At 41.3% G+C, this 23,011-nt stretch overlaps 1 protein-coding gene across 30 annotated transcripts in view; it reads left to right on the forward strand.

The window, feature by feature from the left end:
- The window catches only part of TENM2 (teneurin transmembrane protein 2), a 1,285,129-nt gene that overhangs the window by 825,425 nt on the left and 436,693 nt on the right, over window positions 1-23,011 (forward strand). For 3 of the 30 annotated variants that reach the window (XM_047417428.1, XM_047417429.1, XM_047417433.1), the window contains exon 1: window positions 16,304-16,833. The exons of 24 other annotated variants lie outside the window; for them this stretch is intronic. In XM_047417428.1, coding sequence (XP_047273384.1) covers window positions 16,818-16,833 — 16 coding nt within the window. In that variant the 5' untranslated portion in view covers window positions 16,304-16,817. Of the gene's footprint in view, window positions 1-15,212; window positions 16,223-16,303; window positions 16,834-23,011 lie in introns of those variants that run through there. 3 more of the 30 variants (XM_047417431.1, XM_047417430.1, XM_017009668.2) reach the window with 3 other exon arrangements.

A 23,011-nucleotide genomic window follows, 5' to 3' on the forward strand; every position in this document is an offset into this window, starting at 1 on the left:
TAGTTATTAAGCCTTTAGTTGCCAGCAAATTGGAACAATAATAGTAATAATCTCTGCTCTTTGTTGACTATATATTCTGTTTTATTTCCTTTACGTGCATTATCTCATTTAAGCCTCACCATGGGCTATCTCCCTTTATATAGATTAGAAAACTGAGGCTCAGATAGATCGAATAAAGTTTTCAAAGTCACTCCACAGTAGATGTCAAGGCCAGGGATCAAACCAAGACCTGTCTCACAGCTCAGCCTCTACTTTCAAGAGCACACTTTATAACATCTCTAAACAAATGAATCACGGCATGGCGATCAAGGGACAGCTTAATTGTCAGAGGTCTGCTCCTATTACTAGGAAGAAAAGTTGAAAATACATGGCCCTAGGAGAAAAAAAAGTAAGCTAACATCATATTTAACAGCTACCCCAAAATGGCAGGAATAAAAAGCAATTTAAGGCAAGAATGCTTATGGCTTTGGAAGTTTTGAGACATTTTTTAACCACACCAGTATTTGAGGCTGAATGAGAGGATGAGACAGTGCATGGACACGCTACAGCTTGTTTCACCTTTGGTGACTCTGCACCTGGGAATGAAGTTCACCAGGCATCTGTGGTAGAGGCTGGGGAGACATCCTGACTTGGCTGCTTGAATAAACTTGGAATAGGTCATGATTATGTAGCAATTGGGAGGGCGTAAGAGGGGCATTGTCTGAAGTGGTCTCTCCCTCAGCTAACTCCTTGGTGTAGCACTCGTGTCACTGAACAGATAAACACTGCCTTCCATTCAATTGTTTCATGTCTATCTGTTTTATTAGCTGTCCCTATGGTTCTCAAAGTTGGTGAAGTACAACAATCATGGGGGATACTTATTAAAAGAATAGGTATTGGCTCTCCTGAGAAATTTTTTATACAATCGTCCTGAGAAAAGGTTCAGACGCCTGTGTTTTTATGAAGCTTTCCTGTGATTCTTGGAATGAACCAAATGTGGGATTTGTTGCTCTTTAAAACTATAAGTCCATGAGGGCACTTTGTTTCCTAGCAGCTCACAGAGTGCTTCACAGGGAGAGAAATTCAGTAGATACTTGTTGACTGAAGGAGGGAATAAATGGCTATTGTAGCTTCCCTGAGGTCAACCATGATGAAACTTACCTCCCACAGTGGCAGTAAATAGTGATCAATAACTGTTTACTGATTTATTAGTTTTAAACCTATGTTTTATTTTTTCTTTTCGCTTAGCTCTGAGCAAATGGCTATGAATTCCCTTGAAGTTTTGTGTTCTAAAAGACCTGATGCCTATTTAATGAGGTGAGGTGGTGGGCATAGCATCCAGGAACTGGTTTTGAGTAGTTTCAGGAGTTTATTTATCCAAAGTCTGAGAAGAAAACCAGTTCCCATATTTTGCAAGTTCATTTTGCTCTAGTACAGTGAATAATTGTCCTGGGGGGACTAGATGGCATAGGAGAATATTAATCTTAGATTTTCATTTCCTATAAAATAATTTCCCACTTATTACATTCAGTGAGAATACTTTGGGTTTCAGGAAATACGCATATTTTATCACAGACAGTCCAAAGTGTGCTCCCAAATGTATCTGAAACTCAGGAGTTAAGAGGGACAGGTGCAGAAATTTAGGTAAGCCACCGGATGCCACGGTAGGCTGTGAGAGGACTGAAGGTAGAGGCAGGACAGAGTCACCTAGTGTCTCCACACCTTGCACAGTGTTGTCAAATTTTAGGCTTGAGCTTTAAAAGAAATTTGTAAAAGGAAAATATTAAAAATTAAATGACAACAATAATAATTAATGACAAGCATTTTTCAATCTCCTCACTATGTATAAGGCAATATACTAAGCCCTTTCACATATCATGTCATATAACTGATTTTTTGGAGAGCCCAATGAGGTAGTATAGTGTATTATAGATGAGAGCATCTCAACTAAGGTCACATTTAAGAAAAAAAAAGATTTTTACTCTTGGAACAGCAGAGAAGTCCAGAATAGCTTCAGACATGTTAGATTTCAGGGACTCAAGTAATATCACAGTACCCTTCTCTCCCGTGTTACCTTCTCTTCCCTATTGCCTTTCACTACGTGGTAATGAAGATGGCCCCCAGCAACTCCAATTTAATGTTCTCTGAAGATCAAGTCCAATGGAAAAGAAGATTCTTTTCCTACAGAGTCAGGGAAATCCACAATATCATGCTTACTTGTGACATCAACTGCGAAGTTTTGGGGTCCCTAAGATCACTCTCATTTTTTATAATTCACCAAAATGGCTCGCAGATCTCACTGAAAGCTTACACTTGCAGTTATGGTTTCTTAGGGTGAAAGAATACATATTAAAATGAGTCAATAGAAGATACTCATGGAACAGAGTTCAGGAAAGTTCCCAAAACAAAGTTCCCAGTTGTCCTCTCCCAGTGTAATCATGGACAGGGCTAACTTTTCTGAGTAACAGTGTGTGACAGTACACACAGAGCACTGCCAACCGTGGTATCTTTCCTGAGTCTTCAAGTCCAGAATTTTAACTGGGGGCTCAGTCACAAAGACATAATTGACTACCCTTGTGGCTGACCATTAGTCTCTAGTCCCTCTAGAGGTCAAGCTAATACTGCATGGTCCAAAGCCCCCATCATAAATCATATTATTCGACTGCACAGTTTGGCCCAAAGCCCCTAGGTTAAAAAAAAAAAAAAAAAAAAAAAAAAAAAAAAGAAGAAGAAGAAGTTTTTGTCAGTCGGGATATTCCAAGGGTTTTGCTGTCACCTCCCAGTAGCTGAGGGCAAAAGACTTTTTTGGGGGGTAAGGTTAATTCTTTACTACACACTTCCCCAGTGTTCTAATAAAAGCCTGGCCTCCATTGTGTTCATGGACCCATCCCTAAAGCAATTGCTCTGACACAGAGATGAACATGCTAATAGGCTAAGCCTAAGGATGGGGCCATTCACCTTGCCCACTACATAGCACGAGATCAAGTAGGGGTGATTCTCCAAGAAAACTGGACATTGACCAAGATATTTCAGGAGTAAATAAAATGAGAAGACACTAGTCTATGTTAACTCATGGGAAGGCTATGTAGCAAAACTAAAATACTAAATTCCCTTTATTTTGATTTGATGTGCTATCATTAGCAAGTCCACAGGAAAATGAACTAAAAGTGACTTAATAAATGCATTTTTTTTAAAAAAAAAAAAAAAGAGACAGAACCTCTTAAAATATGACATGTGTGACTTAGGGAAGAGGCAGAATAATAGCAAGTTGATGAAGAGGCTCTATATGTGATCACTTATGCAAATTTCCCACCAAGAATGAATTTGTCTTTTTCCGCAGGGCAACATGAAAACTCCCTAGAGCAGTGGTTTCTAAATTTGTAGTGCATTAGAAATACCTGGGGAACTTTTAAAATCCTGATGCCCAGGTCACACCCGTACCAGTGAAATCAGAATGTGTAGGAATGGGATCCAGGCAACTGTGTTTTTTAAAGATTCCCAGAAGATTTGGAAACTACTGTAGTAGATACTGAAACAACAGCAAACACTACTAATCTGAATGCTAATTTCCAATATGACCAACCTTACCTAATTAAATGGACACCATTCAATCACTGGCAGAAGAACTCCTCTTGAGTCTCAGCAGGATGTAGTATAGAATCTGAGTTGGAGAAATATGTGTTCAAACCACGGCTTTTACCATTTACTTTTTCATTACACTTACGTTACTAGTTGGGCCTCGAGGAAGCAACTTAATCACTTTAAGGTTCAGTTTCCTCATCTGTGAAACAACTGATAATTTATATGACATGGAACTTCTTTTTTGTTTGTCTGTTTGTTTGTTTGAGGTAGAGTCTCACTCTGTCACCCAGGCTGGAGTGCAGTGGCACAGTCTTGGCCCACTGAACTCTCTGCCTCCTGGATTCAAGCGATTTTCCTGCCTCAGCCTTTCAAGTAGCTGGGATTACAGGCATGCACCACCACCTCCGGCTAATTTTTATATTTTTAGTAGAGACGGGGTTTTGCCATGTTGGCCAGGCTGGTCTCAAACTCCTGACCTCAGGTGATCAGCCTACCTCAGTCTCCCAAAATGCTAGAATTACAGGCGTAAGCCACCTTGCCATGCCTGGAACTTCTGAAAGAAAATACACAGAAAGTACCTGGCATAGCAAATGTCAACTTCATTACTTATACTATTACCTTTATTGTAAGAGAGATAGAAACCCCTTGTCTTTTTTTCCTGTCTTTCAGCCTTTGTTATTTTGGGTTGTTTTGTTTTGTTTTTAATATATCCATGTAGGATTTTAAAAAGTGTATCTTTGTCAATAATGCAAAACTTATAACTTGTCTTTGTCATTAAATACATTTGTTCCCTTAAATATTGAGAACTTCAGGAGGAGGTGTCCTATTCATTCAGTCATTTATCCACACAATATTTGTAAAGTGTCTATGACAATATTTCGTCAATACTAAAATGCACTCATTTGCAAGATGTATCATTGTTTTATGTATGAATAAGAGAGGGAAAAACTCAGCCAATTAAACTGTGCCGCACCCTCAGTTACAAAAGGGATTCTTATTTCAGAAGTCTTAAGTTGAACAAAGAAATGTATAAGATAACATCAGTGAAATGCAGTCAGTGTGGAATTAATCCTCCAGGATGCTAGGCATAAGACACAAAGTTACACAAGACGCTGTCTCAGTGATGGGGGACAGAAAAGAACCAAGATCCACAGTTGGCTTCAACCCTCTTGCTCCCGAGAAGAGAGTCAACTCCAGTTTCATCCAGAGAAAATTCTTTTTCATGCCCCTTTTACATCATTAAATGTCATACACTGATCACTGTTTCACCTTTGAGAAATACAGTGACCTGTTTAAATGGTCCCATTTTTGAATCACTTTTCTTCAAACAGGGCCAGTTTTAAATGGCTGTATGTCATCCCACCCATGGATGAGAGTGAAAATGGCTCTCATTATTTCAGCAGATCACATAAGCCATGCTGCAGGAGAGCAGGAGGTGAGAAGGTAGAGGGAATTCAATTTGATGATCACATGATCTTTCTTCCCCTGAACCTCCCCATTCAACTGAAGATTTTGTGTTGTGATCCCAAATGGGTCAAAATACAAGCTTGGAAAAGTTTTCTGAATAGTCTTTCTCTATTCTATATATACTTAATACAGATATGCCCCATTTCTCTTTCCTTACATTGAAGCCTGCTTGGCCAGAAATGTGCTTGTGTTGGCTAATTTTTTTTAAGTAGTTGGCAAAATATGTCCTTGAGTGGAGGCAAAGTGTTAGGGGAAGATTTTGGGGACAGGTGTACCATCAATGATTCTGAATCAGCCCATTGAAATGCGATCTTTATATGTAGTTTGGGGAATTAAATTTTGGTGATAGAAAAACAGAATTCCAAAAAGAGAAAGAGAAACTAAAAATAATAGGCTCTTCAAATCCAAATGAGAATTCTACTAACAGCATCTTGGTGCGCCATGCCAGGTCCTTGCTCCAGTCAATAGAGATTTTCTTTTGAAGGTAAGCAATTTAGAGAATGAATTTGCTCTGCCGTCTGGTTGGAGGATGGGTGCCAAGGTTAGATCTTTAAGGAAATAATCTTATTAGTCCCTCTTATTAAGGAAGCCTCTGCAGTGAGTAGACTTTGAACCTGCCTGATAAAAAGTAGGTCTTGTCAAACAGCTCACAGCTCCTAGTGAAAAGGTTGAACTTTGTTGGTTTAGATCATCCAATCCAAATGCAAACATGTTTCTAAGCTTCTGTTTGCATACTCTGGGAGAAAAAGAAGACTTCCTTTTTTTCCTTGACTCTGACACTAATAGTATTCTGAGGCGATGGCAGCTCCCATGGAAATTACTAAATCACGGTGTTAGTGGCGCATACAGAAAGGCAGAAGTTTCCAGTGTAACTTGAAATGTAAAGCTTCCAATTGTCACTGTTTGGGTCCTTTTATTTCTTTAAATCTTCATTTTTTCCCCTTAACGGAACTTGGTCTCCCCATTTCGCCACCATTACATGTCCATACTAACCCCATCTGGAAGCTGTAAGGCTGAAATTTTGACAGCTTTGTCATTTTCATAGCTGTGAAGGTTGATGTTGAGCTTACAGGATTATTGCTCTCCAGGAATACTTCACTACATAATCAAGCGGAAGGTCAAGAGAGGTGGAGAGAGAGGAAAAAAAAAAAGAAAACTCTAATTAAATCAGGAAGGGCTGACTTGTGCCCTAAGAAATGTGTGCAACTTCAGGGAGAGCCATGCTTGTATCCAAGTGCAACAATTGGCCCCAGTCAGAGGCCACACTTGTCACAATGGACAACAAAGAAATTGCCATTAAAGCAAGCAGCTCCTTGAAGAACTGGCTTCACTCTTTGCTTTCACCCTGCTATTAAGGCCCTTCTCAAATCAGATTAAGGAAAGGCACTGTAACACATAGTTTCATTAGAGTAATGGAAAGAGGAGAGCAAGCTCTTTTCTTACGTCTTCTCCTTTGGTTCCTGAGATTTGTGGCTTCTGGATATCACCCTGGTACATAATGCAACCAGACAATAGTGGCCACACAGAATGAAAGACACGTCTGAGACTTATGCTACTGAGAACAGAATTGAGAAGAATCTTACTCCAAATTTTTGCATGATATATCGCTGCAAGGAGGAAGTAGACACTGTGTAGAATCCCCAGAGTGTAGAATTCTCAGGTAGGATTTGCACAAACTGTGCATTTTAGTTCAGCAAATCCTACCTGAAACCTACTGATACAGTTTGGATATGTGTCCCCTCTAAATCTCATGTTAAATTGCAATCTTCATTGTTGGAGGTGGGGTCAGATGGGAGGTGTTTGGTTTATGGGGATGGATCCCTCATGGCTTGGTGCTGTCCTTGCAATAGTGAGTTCTCATGAGATCTGGTTGTTTAAGTGTGTGGCATGCACACTCCCTCCACTCTCTCTCTTGCTCCTGACCCCACCATGTGAGGTGCAAGCTTCTGCTTCACCTTCTGCCATAAGTAAAAGCTCCCTGAGGCCTCCCCAGAAGCCAAGCAGAGGCAGGTGCCACGCTTCTTGTACAGCCTGCAGAACGATCTGCCACTTAAACCTCTTTTTTTAATAAATTACCCAGTCTCAGGAATTTCTTTATGGAAATGCAAGAATGACCTAATACACCTACTGTGTGCCAAATATTTGTCAAGATGTTAATGGTTCAAATAAGTCATGGATAGAGTTCTGTGTTTAACCCATTTATGCTGGAGGTTGCAGTTTTTTTGTGTGAAAAATCAGACCTCAGCGATGACCTTGAGCAGCAGGATATGAATAGCTCCCACCAGCTTGGCGTTCCAGTAATGGAATACTAGGCATATATGGGTTAATAGGGGTTTAAGAGAGATGAGCAAATACTACATATATAAGGTAGGATAATCACAACTGTAAAAATTATTGAGCAGCTACTATGTGCAGCTCACTGGTTTAAGTGCTTTGCAGAGAACAAATTATTTAATATAAAGGTCAGACTATTATGCCTAGAGCACATACACAAGGACGTCATTTCAGCTGGGGAAGGTAGAGGACATGGAAAGTTCCCTGCAAAAGGGATTTAAATGCATCTTGAAGGATGGATAAGAATTATACCCAATGTTTAAAAAATAAGGGAGTGGAAGATAAAACCTTTCTAAATTTAGTAAACTTCATAAATAAAGACTTAAAGTGCTACATAAGATGAGATCATCCAATAAAATGTAGTATTCCTGCAGCACAAAGTAAAAGGCAGGTGATAGAGAAGGGGCTGAAGATGATGGAATGTAATGAAGGCTTTGTCTGGAGCCGAGGGAGAATTTTTAAGTAGGGCTGAGGTTCAGATTTCCATTTTGGAAAGATCATCCTAGGGCATTGCTTCTGTCCCTGCTGAAGTGATAATTGTGCAAGTTTGCCTCGTAGACCTGGCTTGAAGACAATCCACTCTCTGAGTGCAGGCACTGCCCTTGGAGGGGGCATCTGTGTAGAACCCTCAGGATCAGGCATCCCAGCATTTTATTTGTTGACTTAAATGGGAAGAATGAAGCTTTTTATTTCTTTAATTTATTGGTGAATGCTGCTCGTGGACATTTAATGCTTCTGTATCAAATCAAATGTACCAGGATTTCTTAGAGTTGCATTCTTTAAGCGCCAGCCTGAGTGTGTATCCTGCTGATATCCTTTTATGTCTATGGAAAAGACCCTCCCTGGACAGTTGGCTGCAGCAGACAGTAACTCCTTCTTCTCCAGGCTTGCGCCTGAGGATATTTGTGTCTTATACTCACAAGCCAAGGAGAACCATCTTTCTGAGCAATGCCTATCTTTGATGGCCAGGTGATATGACCAAGGGACAAAGCAAATGAGAAAGGCAGTGAGAGTGGAGAGGGACAGAAGAGAAGCAATAATATGTTGTGAACCACAGTCAGGGACCCGATGCCACACAGACTGGTGACCGCATCCCTGGTATTCATTCCACTGAGACTTAGCACTGCAAAAAAGGCAGGCTACAGGGCATAAGAAATATGAAATAATTTATCAGGCCAGAAAGTTATACTCATTTCCTTTCTAACTATTTTGCTGCAGGTTAAACATTCCTTCGTGCTTCTGTAGGGCAGCTGCTGGAAATACAAAGGTTTGTATCCAGCACTGGAAAGTACCCGACTTTCCTGGCCACCTTTGCTGGGGGTGGAAGCTCTGTTTCTTCATGAGCAGTGGCTGGGCCTCTGCATTCTGAGGGAGATGTGTGCATCCCAGTTAGTAGAGATGGGATGAGGTTGTAAGATTGTATGAGTCTCCAAAATGTTTCCAGCAGTGAAATAAAGAAGTGAAGCCAATCCAGATGAATGATTTGGGAGGCTTTCAGAGGAAGGGGAAATATTACGTGTCTGCCCAGGGTTCTGGAAAAGGGTCCTTTTGCTGAAGAGCTTACAAGTTCTGCACACACACACACACACACACACACACACACAGTGGAACTAAGGTCAGCACTGGAAACCACTGAGCTATGGCAGAAAGAGTGTTGCAGTGTTGGAGGAGCAGGGAGATGCATGTCTGTTGAAAACTTGGGGTTTGCTTCTGGGCTTGCAACTGTGGCAGCATTTTTTTTCCTCTCTCTATTCCGCATACCATGCCATGATACAAAGCAAACATTGCATTGACAGTATGTTGACAAATTGAAGCCTTCAACCACTGGCCCAGTCAGCAGCCTGAGCAATCACAGTTCCAACCTCCCCCTCCCTCTCACTGCATCCCCTACTCCCCAGATTTCTTGGGAACAGGCTATGCCCCCAGTTGATCATTTCAGTTGTGTAGCCTTCGTAAGTCCTAACCACAAATCAGCTTTCTAAATTGAGAAGGTGATGAATTTTTAAATCCTTGAACCTGTGCTATAATCATCTTTCCACCATCCTACATATTACAATGCAGGAAGGCAACAGATGTGTTTTCTTATGGCTCTGGTAACATGAAATATTGATAGGGACGGGAGCATGGGCATCGTGTTGAGGTTCATCTACAATGAAGGTAGCAGTTCTCATCCCAGCTTCTCATCGTCCACCTTTCTTTTCTGACACTTAGGACGTGAAGAAAGCCCCATACCTGTGATGCTCAAGGCTAGTTCAATGAAAGCTCTTAAAAAGCCGTGCAATGAAATCTGTCTAAAAAGGTCTTTGTCAGTCTCCAGGGGCCAATTGCTAATGCAGCTAATACACGTTTGATCTATACAGATGATTTTTCCTTTGTCCTCAAGGGAATCTCTACAAACACTTTGGGTTTACATGGTGCCAAGCCCAAGTCGTCTGTCGGAAAATAAATAGCATTTTAACACATTCAAGCATCAGTCCCCAGGATGAAAAGTAGCACGTAGGCTCTTCTCTGAGTTTTCTAGCTGGGCTATAGGACATAATGAAAACCTCATTTTTAGAACATTTCTTTTCCTGGTGACGTTTCACTCAGAGGCACTGCATTCTGAAGGGGGAAAGGCACAAAGTAGACACTCCGATTCAAAAAAAAAAAAAAAAGAAAAAGAAAAGAAAAAGAAAGAAAAGCAATAAGCAAAAAAGGATAAAATTTTATCTAGGACAGTATTTCCAAATGCATATATGGGTGCCATGTACCAATCTGTGTGGTGTAAGTATGCAAGATATCCTTAAGAGGCACATGGTTGAAGTATTTTATTTAAAAAAAAAAGTTTTAATATTTATTTATTGTAATATATTTTAGGAAATATATATTACATACATATATATAGATATCTATATAAATGTAGTTATGTACAGCTAGCACATCCAAGCTGTGATTTTATGGATATTATTAACTAAGATGAAACGAAAGTCAGAAACAATAAGTCAAGTTGCAGAAAAAAAGTAAAGGAAAGAATTGAAGACTAGATGAAACTGCAGCTCCAGCAGCTCCAATCAGGAAGGGTTGGCTAGAACAAATACCCAGAATGTGTGAGGAAACGGCTAATGTGGGAAATGCCGATGGAGAGAAATTCCTCATGTGTTAATAGAGGAGGCAGAGCCAGCTCTGCCTTGGTCAGTGGGGATGAGTGTGAATCTACTTTTCCTGGAATGTCTGTCTCCCTACAGAGACGTCAACCACAGCAGAATTCCTGTGGCTCTGACACACAGTTCTCTGTTGTGTGAAGTTTTGTTTTCTTTGTGGTTTTAAGCAGAAAATCACACATGTTCATGCTGCCTCAATCTGACATGTCGTATTAACCCTTTTCATGTGACTTTCATAAGGCAGGATATTGCAGGCCATTCAGGAGATGTGCCTTTCAGAGAAGGATTCACCTCAAAAGAGTGGACGCTGCACTGGACTTAAGTGAAAGGGGAGAGTTTGTAACGATCCCATAATATATCTGAGCCCATGGGAGAAAGATGATAGCAGCTCCTAGCTACCAAGTCTTCAGTATCTTCCAGGCATGACATATTAAATCTAACCCCCAGATGAGCTAAGTGAACCAAGCACCATTATTCTCATCATTGTATCGTTGTATTTATGGGGAGGCTAAAATGGGAGACTTACACAGCTAGGAAGAGATTCAAATACAATTGTGTCTGACCAAGAGGTTGGATTTCTTCACAAGTTACAATAAGAGGCCATGCTTTGGCTGTGAACACTTCTGGGGAATGGCTTCTCCTATAGTTTTGGTTCTATCCACAACAGAACCTATGTAAATCCTACAAAGCCTTCCTTAGAATAATGCCCACAGTGACTGTCCTCCCTAGCAATAGGACATCACAGAACAAGAAAACATTGACTGTGATCTTTTTTCTTGGAAAAGGGTGGGAGAGTCAGGGGGATGGTTCATGTGGGAGAATGAGAGGGAAAATAAAATAATGGATCCATATAGATGAGAGGGATGCTAATGTATACACTGGGATTCTCTTCCCAGGTCCATAGTGAGCCCCTACATGACACTGAGAAGATCTCTTCTTTCCCCTGACCTTTTTTTGTTCCCTCCATAGTATGAGGGGTTTGACCTAAAGGATCACTTAAGTCCCATTATGATCCTTTGTGTGTGTGTGTGTGTGTGTGTGTGTGTGTGTGTGTGTTTCTCCTCTGATGTAGAATAACTCAGAAAGAGAGAGTTGCCCTGGAGAGTGGTTGCTAAAACAACAGGGAAACAATAGAGAAACCTTACCTTCACTGGTGACTCAGTCAAGAAAAAACAATAGAGCCACATTATCAATCATGAAGGATCCCAAGAAGTATGCAGAAGACACCTGTTTCCGGAACAGAAGGGAGGGGAAGGTGTGGGGAACATGGAGCCACATTCTACTCCCTTCCTGTATTCCCTTTGATCTCTCTACCTGCTTCTTTCTTGGCCAACCACAACTTAGAATCAACCAAGTTTTTGAATTAGCTTGTATAGACAAGAAACATGCTATGAGCCCTCCTTCTAAAGACCTTACCTTTAACTTCAGGAAACAAGATGACTGCTTTCTCTTGCTTCATTTACAAAAGTTATTCAGATGAGGATTATACAGTTTCTGAATCTTCTCTGCCACTTTAATTTTCTAAGCCACCAATTTAAAGATAGCCTTAAACAACTGTTCTGCCCCTGTGGAAACAGGAAGTGGATGCCTCAGGCAGTTCCTCGGGTTGCTGTGTTGGAAGGAGTGATAGTTTCTCAATTCTGCCGCCAGTGAGACACAACTTCACCTCAGCAGTGTGTATTTAGAGACATTCATCATTAGAAATTGAGTGAGAACTTCCATATGGAAAAAAAAATCCTAGAATTTAAAGACCACCACAAGTGCCTACGTATTATTTAGAGACAAAGAAAGACCTGTGTTTTATAACAAGCATTCTTAACCCCACACATTGTAAAAGTACAAATGGCCCAGCAAAGTCAGAATGACCCGGGTGAAGTACACCTTGTAAGGCAAGAAATGTTCAACTTATTGCTGGCTCTACCATTAGTATGTACCATGGAAGTACATACTAAATAAGGGAAAAATAAGAGAAATGCTAACTTAATGAAGCACAATCATGACTCGTATTAGAAAGTGATTAGCTGAGATCTGTGCAGTGAATAAAACAGGGCCTTGTTACAACTTGATTTGGTTGATGTGTTTCAGAAGGACTCGTAATTCATGTTCCAACTGGAGAAATAGCTTCAGCGAATGATGCAACATATCATATTTTTGTTCAGGTGTTTTGACAGGAAGCAAACGATAGAGTTGTTTGGAACTCTAATTGAGAAAAGGATCTTAATGATGTTCACTCAGTCCAGCATCAGGATATAGTGTGCTGATATTTCTTAGAGGAGAAAATGTTGTAGAATCTGCTTCTTCTGAAGACTTATAATTTTGATAAGCCTTTGTTTATGTAAGCAAGAAGTGTGATTAGTACTTCAAATAACTGCATGTTCAAGATATCTTTTATTTGTTTATACAGAAAAGGGTGCAATTATCTATTTAACTATATCATTAGAGAAAAATATATGGAAAAAACTTCTGTATTCTTCAAAGATATTAATAACTTATATGTGTGATGCCATCTTATGAAAAGACAGCCTTTATAAAATATGAAGAGTTTGAAGTATTGCTTTTCTTACTCAAAAGATTTAGAAGTGGCCATCAAAACCATTAGATAGTTAGATGGCTTAACAAACTGTGAAAAGTAGAACCTTTTCTCTACAAAGTAGGACCTTAAAATCAAAATTTAAAGCAATCACTATCTGAAAAAAAAATATGTTCAGTAAAAAGTTAAATATGGGTCATGTAAGCTCAGTATTAACGTAGAGAGGCTGGATTGAACTGAAACCAATTTGTCGGATAGTGAGATGAAACGCTGGCTATGAGTTCCACTGGTTTTACCTTCAGCCTTGTGGGGGAATGGTGGGGACATTTGATAGGAAGTCAGTCTTGTGTGTTCCAGCCCAGCTCTGCTGGGGGCATGAATTTGAGCAAAGTCCCTTCATTTGTCCTGTCACCTTTGCCCTCCTTCAGGAAATGCCAGTTTTGCATTAGATTGGAAGTTCTCAGCCTCTCTTCCCTGTAACTTGGGAGACGGGATGTATAGATAAGAAGGATGAAGATTCTAGAGGGTGCGGCTCATGGTCACTTTCTTCCCCCCATCTCCTAAACAGCAGCCCTGTTTTGGGTATCAAAAATCTGAAATAGTGTTACTTTACAGTTAAATCAACAGAAAGGTGTTCAGTTGATGTTGAAAACTATGGAATCTCCTTTTTAAAAAGGTAACTTTCATGATCCTCCTCTTAATGTTCTCAGTTTTTATACTCTTGTTTAGTTTTTATTGACATCTCTGTCATGGGGCAGCTCATCTAGACAAGTTTATTGAAGGCAAATGACAGTGATGACTACGGTGCTTTGCACACAGATTGTCAATAACAATCTGGTTGTTTGGGGAGCACTTAGAGATGTGGTTCATGCATGTGTGAACCTCGTCAGTGTAAGTTTTGTGCCATTTAACTGATAACATTTTGAAAATTTATAATAGCTGAGGGTTGTTATAAGCTCATAAGATGCTAAGCACAGAGCTAACTAAGTACTTTACATTTCTTACTGAATCCTCGAAAATAATATGATCTCATTACCCATAGTTTCCAGATGAGGAAACTGAGTCTCAAGGAGGATGAACAACTTTCCCAAGGCCACGGGGTCAGCATATGACTGGCAGACCCTTAGGCCTTCCCACATCACAGCACTCAGGGCAGTGAGGGTGTCCCAAGGGATCTTTGCTGAGACTTTTAGCCTGAGGTCAGCTTCTGAGTTGATTATGACTTAGTTATTGGAAAAAGATATAATTTTCTTCAATAATCTGCATCCCAAGGAACAGTCTCTGTTCTCATCGCTCCAGTTAGTTGCTTTTAAACCCTATTCAAAAAATTACAACGCGGGTTGAATTCCTTAGTGGGGAGGATGAGAGGAACCGCTTCAAGCTGAGAGCACAGTTGTTTCCAGATGTGGCCAGGGCCTCCTTAAAGGTTAGTGGGCTGGATAACCCAGCATTCTGGGCCTAGGGAACCAACACACTCACGTGACATCATCCCACAGGGCAATCTGTATCCTTTACTTTTTGCCATTCATCCAGTTTTTGGGTAGCTGGGTTGTATCATTGTGTGGTGTGTGACTGTGTGTGTGTGTGTGTGTGTGTGTGCGTGCGCGTTCTCTAATGCTACTCTTCATTCATTTATTGCTGAGGGAAGTCCTGCTTCTTCCTGCACTGAAGCCCAATTCCCATTGCTTTTCTAATGTGTGCACTGGAGAGTGGGACTTCCCCTGTCCGGGCTCTTTTCTACTGACCTGCACTGTGTTCTCTATCCATTGCTTCCATCTCAGACAGCGCTTTTCCTCCCAAGATATCTAAGTTGGGTTGGACAAAGTCATTGGAAGTGACAGTCACTTAAAAAAGAAAAAGAAAGGAAACTGGCAAAACACAGGGATGCATGTTCAGGAGAAGCTGTTGAGAGAAGCAGGTGGCTCTTGCCTCCTTGTGTTCTTGGATGAGACAATTGACTTTCCCCAAGCTGACTTCTTGCTTAGATGAACTGACTTAACTGTGAGGTCCTGCCAAAGGTTGTTTCACTAAGCGGTGCCTGGGGCTTTCACAAAGTGAAGTCACCTCTGCCTGCCAAGCAGGGACTCTCTAGCTAGACACTGGGGGAATTTCATAGCCTTCTGATTACTCCTCCAAAAGAGGAAGTTCCTGTCATCATCTTACCTTTACCGTGCCAGGGTGCAGTTCATTCTGCCTGTGGCTAACATGCCCAGCTCATAATGTGCTGTTGAGCTATAGAGAAGGGAAATGGCGGACTGCAACTTGGAGAACTGTTCATTTTGCTGAAGAGGAGACTTGAGGACAGAATCATTGCTCTACTTGGCTAAATCTGTGGTCTTCCTGTCTAGGGCTGTGGCTTCAATGGGGCACCAAGGAGCATTTGTGGAGTGAGCGTGATTGCTCTCCATCCAGCTAGGAAGGTTAGTCATGTCACCAAATATTCCTTACTTCCCTTAACAGCCCATTCTAAATCAATCTTCCATGAATTCATCAAAATGTTTTTTGTATTGCCTCAACTTTGCTGCTTCCATGTCAATTTCCTAAACCCAGGGAGGTCACGTGAAGGGCATTTCCCAAACTGTTATCTGAACCTTCCTCCCTGGAGTGTCTTCTGCTCACTCCAGGGAAAGAGTCCTTTTCCCTGGGCTCATTTGCTGTGGTGGCCATATTTTAATTCCCTCTTGGCTTCTAATAGATGAGTTGGGACACGCCTCAAAGTGTTTTTGTTCCCTCTGAAAGAGGTTGAATCAGGGAAGAGAGGGGGAGAAATATATGTGGGAACAGTTTAATTGTATCCATGAGGATTCTTAGTAATCAGGATGCCAGTGTGTGTTTTCCAGAGCCTAGAGCTGACATAAATAATGTAGCGTACCTCGCTTTGTGCAGGCTTGCTGAGGAATGCTGATGGAGAAAAAGCCAAACTGGGATCTGAAGCTCCCGGCTCCCGGCACAGCCTTTGAAATCCTTTTATTGAGTGGTACTTTTGAAACTGCAGCCAGGACCTTGGCAGGTTGGATGTGCCAGGGAGAAGCCAACAGAGGAGGAACTCCAGAGGAAGGTGCCTCACTTGGCTTTTGGAGAATGAGAATCTGGTGTGGCCTGGATGGCTCCGGCTAAGATTGGTTAATTTCATTTTGCGTTCCTAATCCCACAAGGAATAGGATATCTCCGTCAAGGCCCTGAGAGCCGGGTAAGTGTATGCAGCTGTTGCTAACAAGATATGACTGGCCCCTCAAACATAGTGAAAAGCATCTTGCTAGCCTTTTAGAGCCTCTTGCCTTAATGGGAAGAGCCAAATGAGCTTTGCGGGACAACTAACCCCAAATGAAGTCCTGCAGCTTAAGCTCATTTAAAGGCAAAGTGTGCATTGGGAGAGGGAGAGGGACCACAAACGCCACAGTTCTTTTGCAGGAAGGAAACAATGTGTCTTCACGTGGGATTTTCACAGGAGGTCTGCCAAGCCAAATATCCAACTGAAACATCTTCCAGATTTTGATTTACAGTGCAACTTAAGCCTAGTCTTGGCCATAAATGATAGAAGTGAAGGAAAAGGTGGGGAGTGGGGTAAGGAATAATTCTCTATTGTAGAGGATCTTCAGGGACAGGCTCTGGGCATTTAGTGAAAGGGACAGCGATTCCTTTGCCTATACTCTGGTGGTTTAGAAAAGGACCTCAGGGAACATTTGTTTTGTTTTGTTTTGTTTTCCTTTTGATTAAGGCATTTGGGGTCTAGAAAAGAAGATTCAAGCAGGATCCATTTAATTTATTTAGTTTGCCTCACAGACATGAAGCTTCAGAATGGTAAGTGTCAATTACATTCCTACCGATTTGGGTAAACTAGCTGGGAGAGGGTTCTCGCAGAGCAAGGATCTGTTCAAATCTGGGCTGTTTTACAGTTTTTGGCCAGTGATAGGAGCTGCTGTGTAAACACAGAAAAAGCATAGATGACAAGTTTGATTGGGAAGGAAGGCTTTGTGTGACTTGTCCTTTTGGGGGATGGTTCTCTGTTGTTGTTGGTTTGACAATTATGGGATGTCCTTTAGAAACCATCTATATAGCACACTAAAATTTACTTGACAAATGTAAACATGATCCGATAGTTCCATCGTGGGAAAAGAGTATATATTTTCCTCTTATTTGGCTACAGATTTGTTGTTTTCTTCTTTCTCCATTTAAAATATGGAGTGTTTTATAACATAGTTTTTGGAAATTTTTTTTGTTATGTGATGTATTGCTATAAATGTATTATTACTAAGAACTCTACAAGTCCCTTTTGATGATTTCATTGAACTGGTAAGGAAAGGAGTACGTTCTTGTCTGAGTTTCATTCCATCCTCTCTCATTAGGGTCTGTGCTTTGCTTATCTACTGCTTTAAGTGGTTTCACCAGAACTTTCATTCAGTAGTCTCAAAAGCCCCGCGTACTTCTCTCTGCTTGGACAAATGCCTTCCCAAATTAGTGCTGTGGTTTTGTCTTGTGAAGGAAAAGTTTTATCTTCATGGATAAAGGCGAAACAGGGTTTTTGTTTGTTTGTTTTTTCATTTTGTTTTGTTTTGTTTTGTTTTGTTTTATTGGGGCAGGCAAGATTTAGTCTTTAGTCTGAGGAATCTGTTTGGACACTTTTCCAGCAAACCTTCCACTCTTTGGGAAAGAGCATGCCCATCTGTGAAATGGGCTTGGGATTTGATTAAAAATGTAACACCCACGCCCTCTCGGTCACATTGTGAATGTTTGAAAGGAAAAAAAAATGATTATAGAGGGTTAGCTGAGGGGTTGTCAATAAGCTGGTCTCCGTAGGACTGAGTTTAAACCTGTTTTAAACATGCAAAAACTGGGTCGCTTGTTAGTTTCTATTTATAAGTGCGTTAGAAGAAAGTACATCTTAAGTGCAGGGAAATGCAATACTTCTATTAAACAAAACTTAGTTTTTATAACCTAAGAAGTGACCTGAAGGAATGTGAGGAATTGTTAGAAGCCTGTGGTTCTTGGGCGCAGAGTCACAGCTTCATGTTTAATTTAACAAAACATTAAACATTTCATGTTTAATTTAATGAAACATTAGAGCACTAGGATTTGTCACCTTCATGACAGAATGTCAGAACTGTGGGATAGTTTCAGAATATATGTTCTTTCTACAGAATTCACATGTCACACTGGAGATGTTTCACATGCAAAGGCCTTTACTTTTTTCCAGGGGTCTTTTTTTTCCTCTCTAATAAAAGAAGGAGAAGCAAAGAAGCAAGTAGAACAACAAAAACAACAACACATTAGGCATGCACTACTAGTCTAGCTAATTGTAGGGGGGCTATTAGCAGGCATTTAGGCAAATCGATTAACATTTAGCATCAGTACCAATGCAATTGCATTTCTACTTTTTGTGCTTCTGACAAAATAAGCACACAGATCTTCAGGACAAGAAAAGAACGGACGTTGGAACCATTTGTTAGGTGATAAACGTTTTATTAAACCCATTTGGATTTTTTAATGAACTATTTGAGAAAGTGGGGTGAGATCTTTGGAAAAAAATAGGTAAATGTATCCGTTTGATAAAGGTTGTTACCAGTGTGAGAGAGGCAACCCTTTGTACTGCATCGCTTGCCAGATTTTTTTCTTAGTCTGGAAAATGTGGTCGGAGATTGATAGTGCTAGTTTGCCTTTGGCCTGTGATGGGAAATTTCCCTTTTTTTTGTATTTCAAAGTGCTGAAATAGAGATATGCCCTACCTCTCTGTCCATATTTTGCAGATTGGTGGAGCTCTATTTTCATCAGATGCTTAGAATGCTTAGCTCTTTTCCATGAAAAACAAAAATTGATGTTTGGGCAGTGAAGGTAATTACCGATCCATAAAGCATGCATGTGTGTGTGCATATATGTAATTATACATGTGTACCCACCCACACACTCACACACACGCACACACAGACACACACAATGTACAAGTCTACAAACCCTTCCCCTCACCCCCCTGCCACCAAATTCTCCTTCTATTCATTTGAATTGCCTCCTGCACCATTTCTGGAATGCTGTATAAAACACAATGGAGATTTATGCAAGGGCAGTATTTTCTTTTGTGATGACAGGAGTGCGAATGGCTCTCCTGTTATTATATACTCAGCCTGAATGTGCTGCTTCCTTGGGTACCTTGAAGTGGCTGAGACCAGATGCTTCAGAGAGAAATGTCATATTCATGCAATTCAGAGGAGCATATGGCAAGAGAAAAATCGTTGTGACAGTTGCTGACCTGTGGAGCAAGTCACTTTTTTAACCCTTAAAAAATAGTTTTAACCCTATCCTAAATAGCCACAGATACATTATTTAGTTGAAGAATTTTCTAATTCTCCTGTATGTTGCATTCTGGAAAAAGCCTGCAATGGGGGCTGGGGAAGTAGAGAAGCTGCCCTGGCCATGGTAGGTTGGACGGCCTCTCCTACTCACACCCTACTCTCAGGGCTACATCCACACTTCTCTCAGCCTCTGGGTCCAAAGGCTGAAATTCAGAACGGTGTGACCCACCTTACCTAATTCAGGTTTGTGATGGCTCCCCTGCCTTCTCCCCGGGGAACTGAGGAGGACCCAGCAAAGCTCAGCCCTGCGTACTGTCCTGGAGGCCAGAGGCATCGCCTGCTGCCTTTGTCGTCCTTCATGACCACCATCCTAACCCACAGATAGCACAGAGGTAGCAGAAGTTGCCAAGGAGGTCCCTTCACTTCATAAGGCCTCTTTTAATCCCTGCCTATGTGCCTGACACTCTGACAGACCCCGGGAAGGAAAGCAAGTGTGATATGCCTCACCCTGCCACCACCACCAAGGATCTCCTAGTGTCATGTAGAAGATCTGTGAACAAAAATGGAACAAAGCATTGTCTTCAGTGCCATGAGGGCTGAGAGAGGAAAGCCTTGTATGGCCACAGGTATTATGTGGGTGCAGGGGAGAGAGCTGGCAACCCTCAGAGCTCAGAGAGGTCAGAACAAGCTTCATAGATGCAGTTTTTTTAAGAGAACTGGCCTGGCAGATTCTCCTGGAAGCCAAGGGGCAGGGGTCTCCACACCCAGAACATGGCAGATGCTTAGCAAATCAAGGAACTTCAAGTACTGAGTTCAGTAAAGCTGGCACCCAAGGCATGAGGAAGGCAAAAGATTGTACTAGAAAGATAAGCAGAGCCCTGTGGTGAATGGCTTTCCATATCATCAAGTCTAAGTCTTCTCTAATCTGCCACATCCTCATAAATCTGAGACAGACAGCCAGCTCATAGCCGTAAGGAAAGTGAGGGTTGAGCATATCAAAACAACAGTATGGTTTATGTGAACACACCTAAGTTTTACAATGTCCACAACTAATTCAACGTTTCAAAAAATGCTGGCTACCCCTGTGTGAGCCAAACTAACGCCATGTGCATGTTTCAGATGGAGTCTGGGGGCTACCAGTTTGCAACCTCTGCAAATAGTCAACAGGCGCCTGCAAAGGGAACTCACCCTACCACTAACTTGCTTCTTATCTGAAAAGATTTTGGAGAAGAGCTTTGACAAATACAGAAAGAGTGTGTTTGGAGACAAATTTTCAAGCGTCCCCACTTGGAAATCTGGTTGGGAGGGAGGCAAATATATATGTTCATATTCCTATCTGGATTTATATTTTTACATATTTGTGTAATGGTGGGTGTGTTCTGCTTCCTTCGTATAGTCAAAGCTTCTGGAGGTGGAATCCAAAAGGAAGGTCAAAATTCTGACTCTGTAGATAGACACATAATCCAGCAGATCACAGCTAATGAGTACCTCTTTGCATAGTGCGTGTAGTACATGGGTTTCTGCAGGGGGGTGGGGTTCTTGGTGGGGTTTTTTTATGTTTTAATTTCCTCATCAGCCATTTAACTTTATGCCATATGGTGATGGCAGAGCTGTCCCCACTTCTGTGAGAAGACCCTAGTGGTTCCATGAACATCTTTTGAGAAAGCAGACCCACTGAGCGTTTGCTTAGAAGAGCAGAAGGGAGGCTGGGGAGGATGCAGTAGCCATCTCCTTTTCATCTTCATCTCCTAGACCTTAACTCATCTGCTACCATTTGACTGGCATTGTCATCTAGCTCCTCTGGCGTGCACACACACATGCATAGGCAGTGTCAGTCTGTTGGCAGCACCTCCCAGGACAGACTTGCGATCCCACGGGCTCTGCAGTCCCAAATTGCTAGGGCTCTCTTTTGAGTTAAGTGTCAGGCTGGCCATGGAAACCTGGGATTGGGCCCTGGCTGCCTTAGTGGCTTTGAGTAAGAGGGCCGGGCATTTAATATTTGTTGAAGTGACTGAGCTCTCAGTGCGCTCATTTATCTGTCTGAATAGTGGATAGTAATACTTCTCAGCTCCATGGAGATAATGGTAATGATAATTAAAAAAAAAAAAAAACAACTGTGACCCAGGTATCAGCTCAAACCCATCTCCACAGACCATTCCCACATTCTGGGTGTTCCCTGAGCTCCTGTGCTCAAGCTCATGTTTGTTCATTTTTCAGCACTTACTCCTTCCCGCAGCCCAACACGTCGTGTACCTGTACCTTTCTCTCCACCCCAAGCTGCTCCAGTTGTAGAATTTGGCCTCTTACCCCTAGCATGTGCAAAAAAACAAACAAACTAGCAAACAAAATCTCAGGCAGACAAAATCATCCACCCAAAACCTTGTGTGGAACAGACTTTACTGAAAGTTTGGAGAAAATGAAGAATTGAGAGTTTCATATGCCAGCAATAAAAAGAAGTTTAAATAGAATATTCAACACCTCTCTTCTTCAAGAGTGCTTGGGTCAGTTCTGACTAACTGGGGCTCCAGCTCCCTGCCAGGTTCCCTGCTGCATTTCTATTTCTTCCGATTGGCCAGAAATTCAAATGGATTTCACTATATTTTTGCAGAGCAGCTCAGCACTCTCCACCTGCACCCAAAAAGCCAGCACTTTCTTCCTTCTTCATAGACCCCTTGATAGACTCTGCAAAAGGAAAACTATAGCATAGAGATTTATTTCCCCAAAGATGTTAATAGCACCATTTCCTGTCACTAACCTTCAAGCCAAGAAAGGAAAAGTTGTTACATTTTTGTTTTCAAAAACACTTTTTCTGACACATAATACTTTACTATGTATTTCCTTACATTTTTAATATCCTTCCCACCTGATTGATTAATTAATTGATTGATTAAGGGATCAATTAAAAAGGCAGTGTGGCCAAAGGTTAAGAGCACAGACTCAGGAGCTCTGCTGCTTACTAGTGACTCTGAGCAAGTTACTTAAGTTCTCTGAGCTTTGGTAAAGGCGGATAGTCAAGGTACCTCCCTGATATCCCAGCCATGTGGTTAAATGAGATCATGCACATTGAGGTGCTGATTTCAGAACCTGGCACGTGCAATGGTTATTTCCTTTGTCTACAGTCAATGGCAGCATTTCATTTTCATCCAAATTTTATAATAGAATGTTTTCTCTATTTCCAAAATGATTTCAGGTTAAATGGGTAGTGTGCTGGGATTCTGGCACAAGCCAGATTGCACCTTGCCCCACCAAGTAGAAACTGACTGTATCCATCCTCCATCCTCAAGACAGAAGCCAGATGGCCTCCTGTCCTCCCCTAAGTAGTCTTCAGTTTCATGTATGTTTCTCTGTAGTGGCCTTCCCACTGCTGCTGTTTTAACCAGATAACGAAAAAATCCAAGGTGGTTCGGAATAACCGGCATTGGCTGAACTTTTTTCCAACCAATGTTACTAGAAACATAATTGCTCAGAATTAACACTCTCATCTTCAGTGGAACAGAATGCAATTGTTTGCTCTTGGTTTGAGTCCTCAGAGTGGGGCTGGTAGGGGGCAAGGAACAATTATTGCAACTAAATTTTAATCAACAGTTTCAGTAACAATATTGAATTAAAAAGGTACTAGCTACTAGTTAGAGCATGGCTTAACTTGTACACAGGCAAATCAGTCATTCTGTGGTGATTAACATCTATTCAGAACA

The sequence above is a fragment of the Homo sapiens genome, chromosome 5 (genome assembly GCF_000001405.40).
Source record: "Homo sapiens chromosome 5, GRCh38.p14 Primary Assembly".
Taxonomy (NCBI): Eukaryota; Metazoa; Chordata; class Mammalia; order Primates; family Hominidae; genus Homo; species Homo sapiens.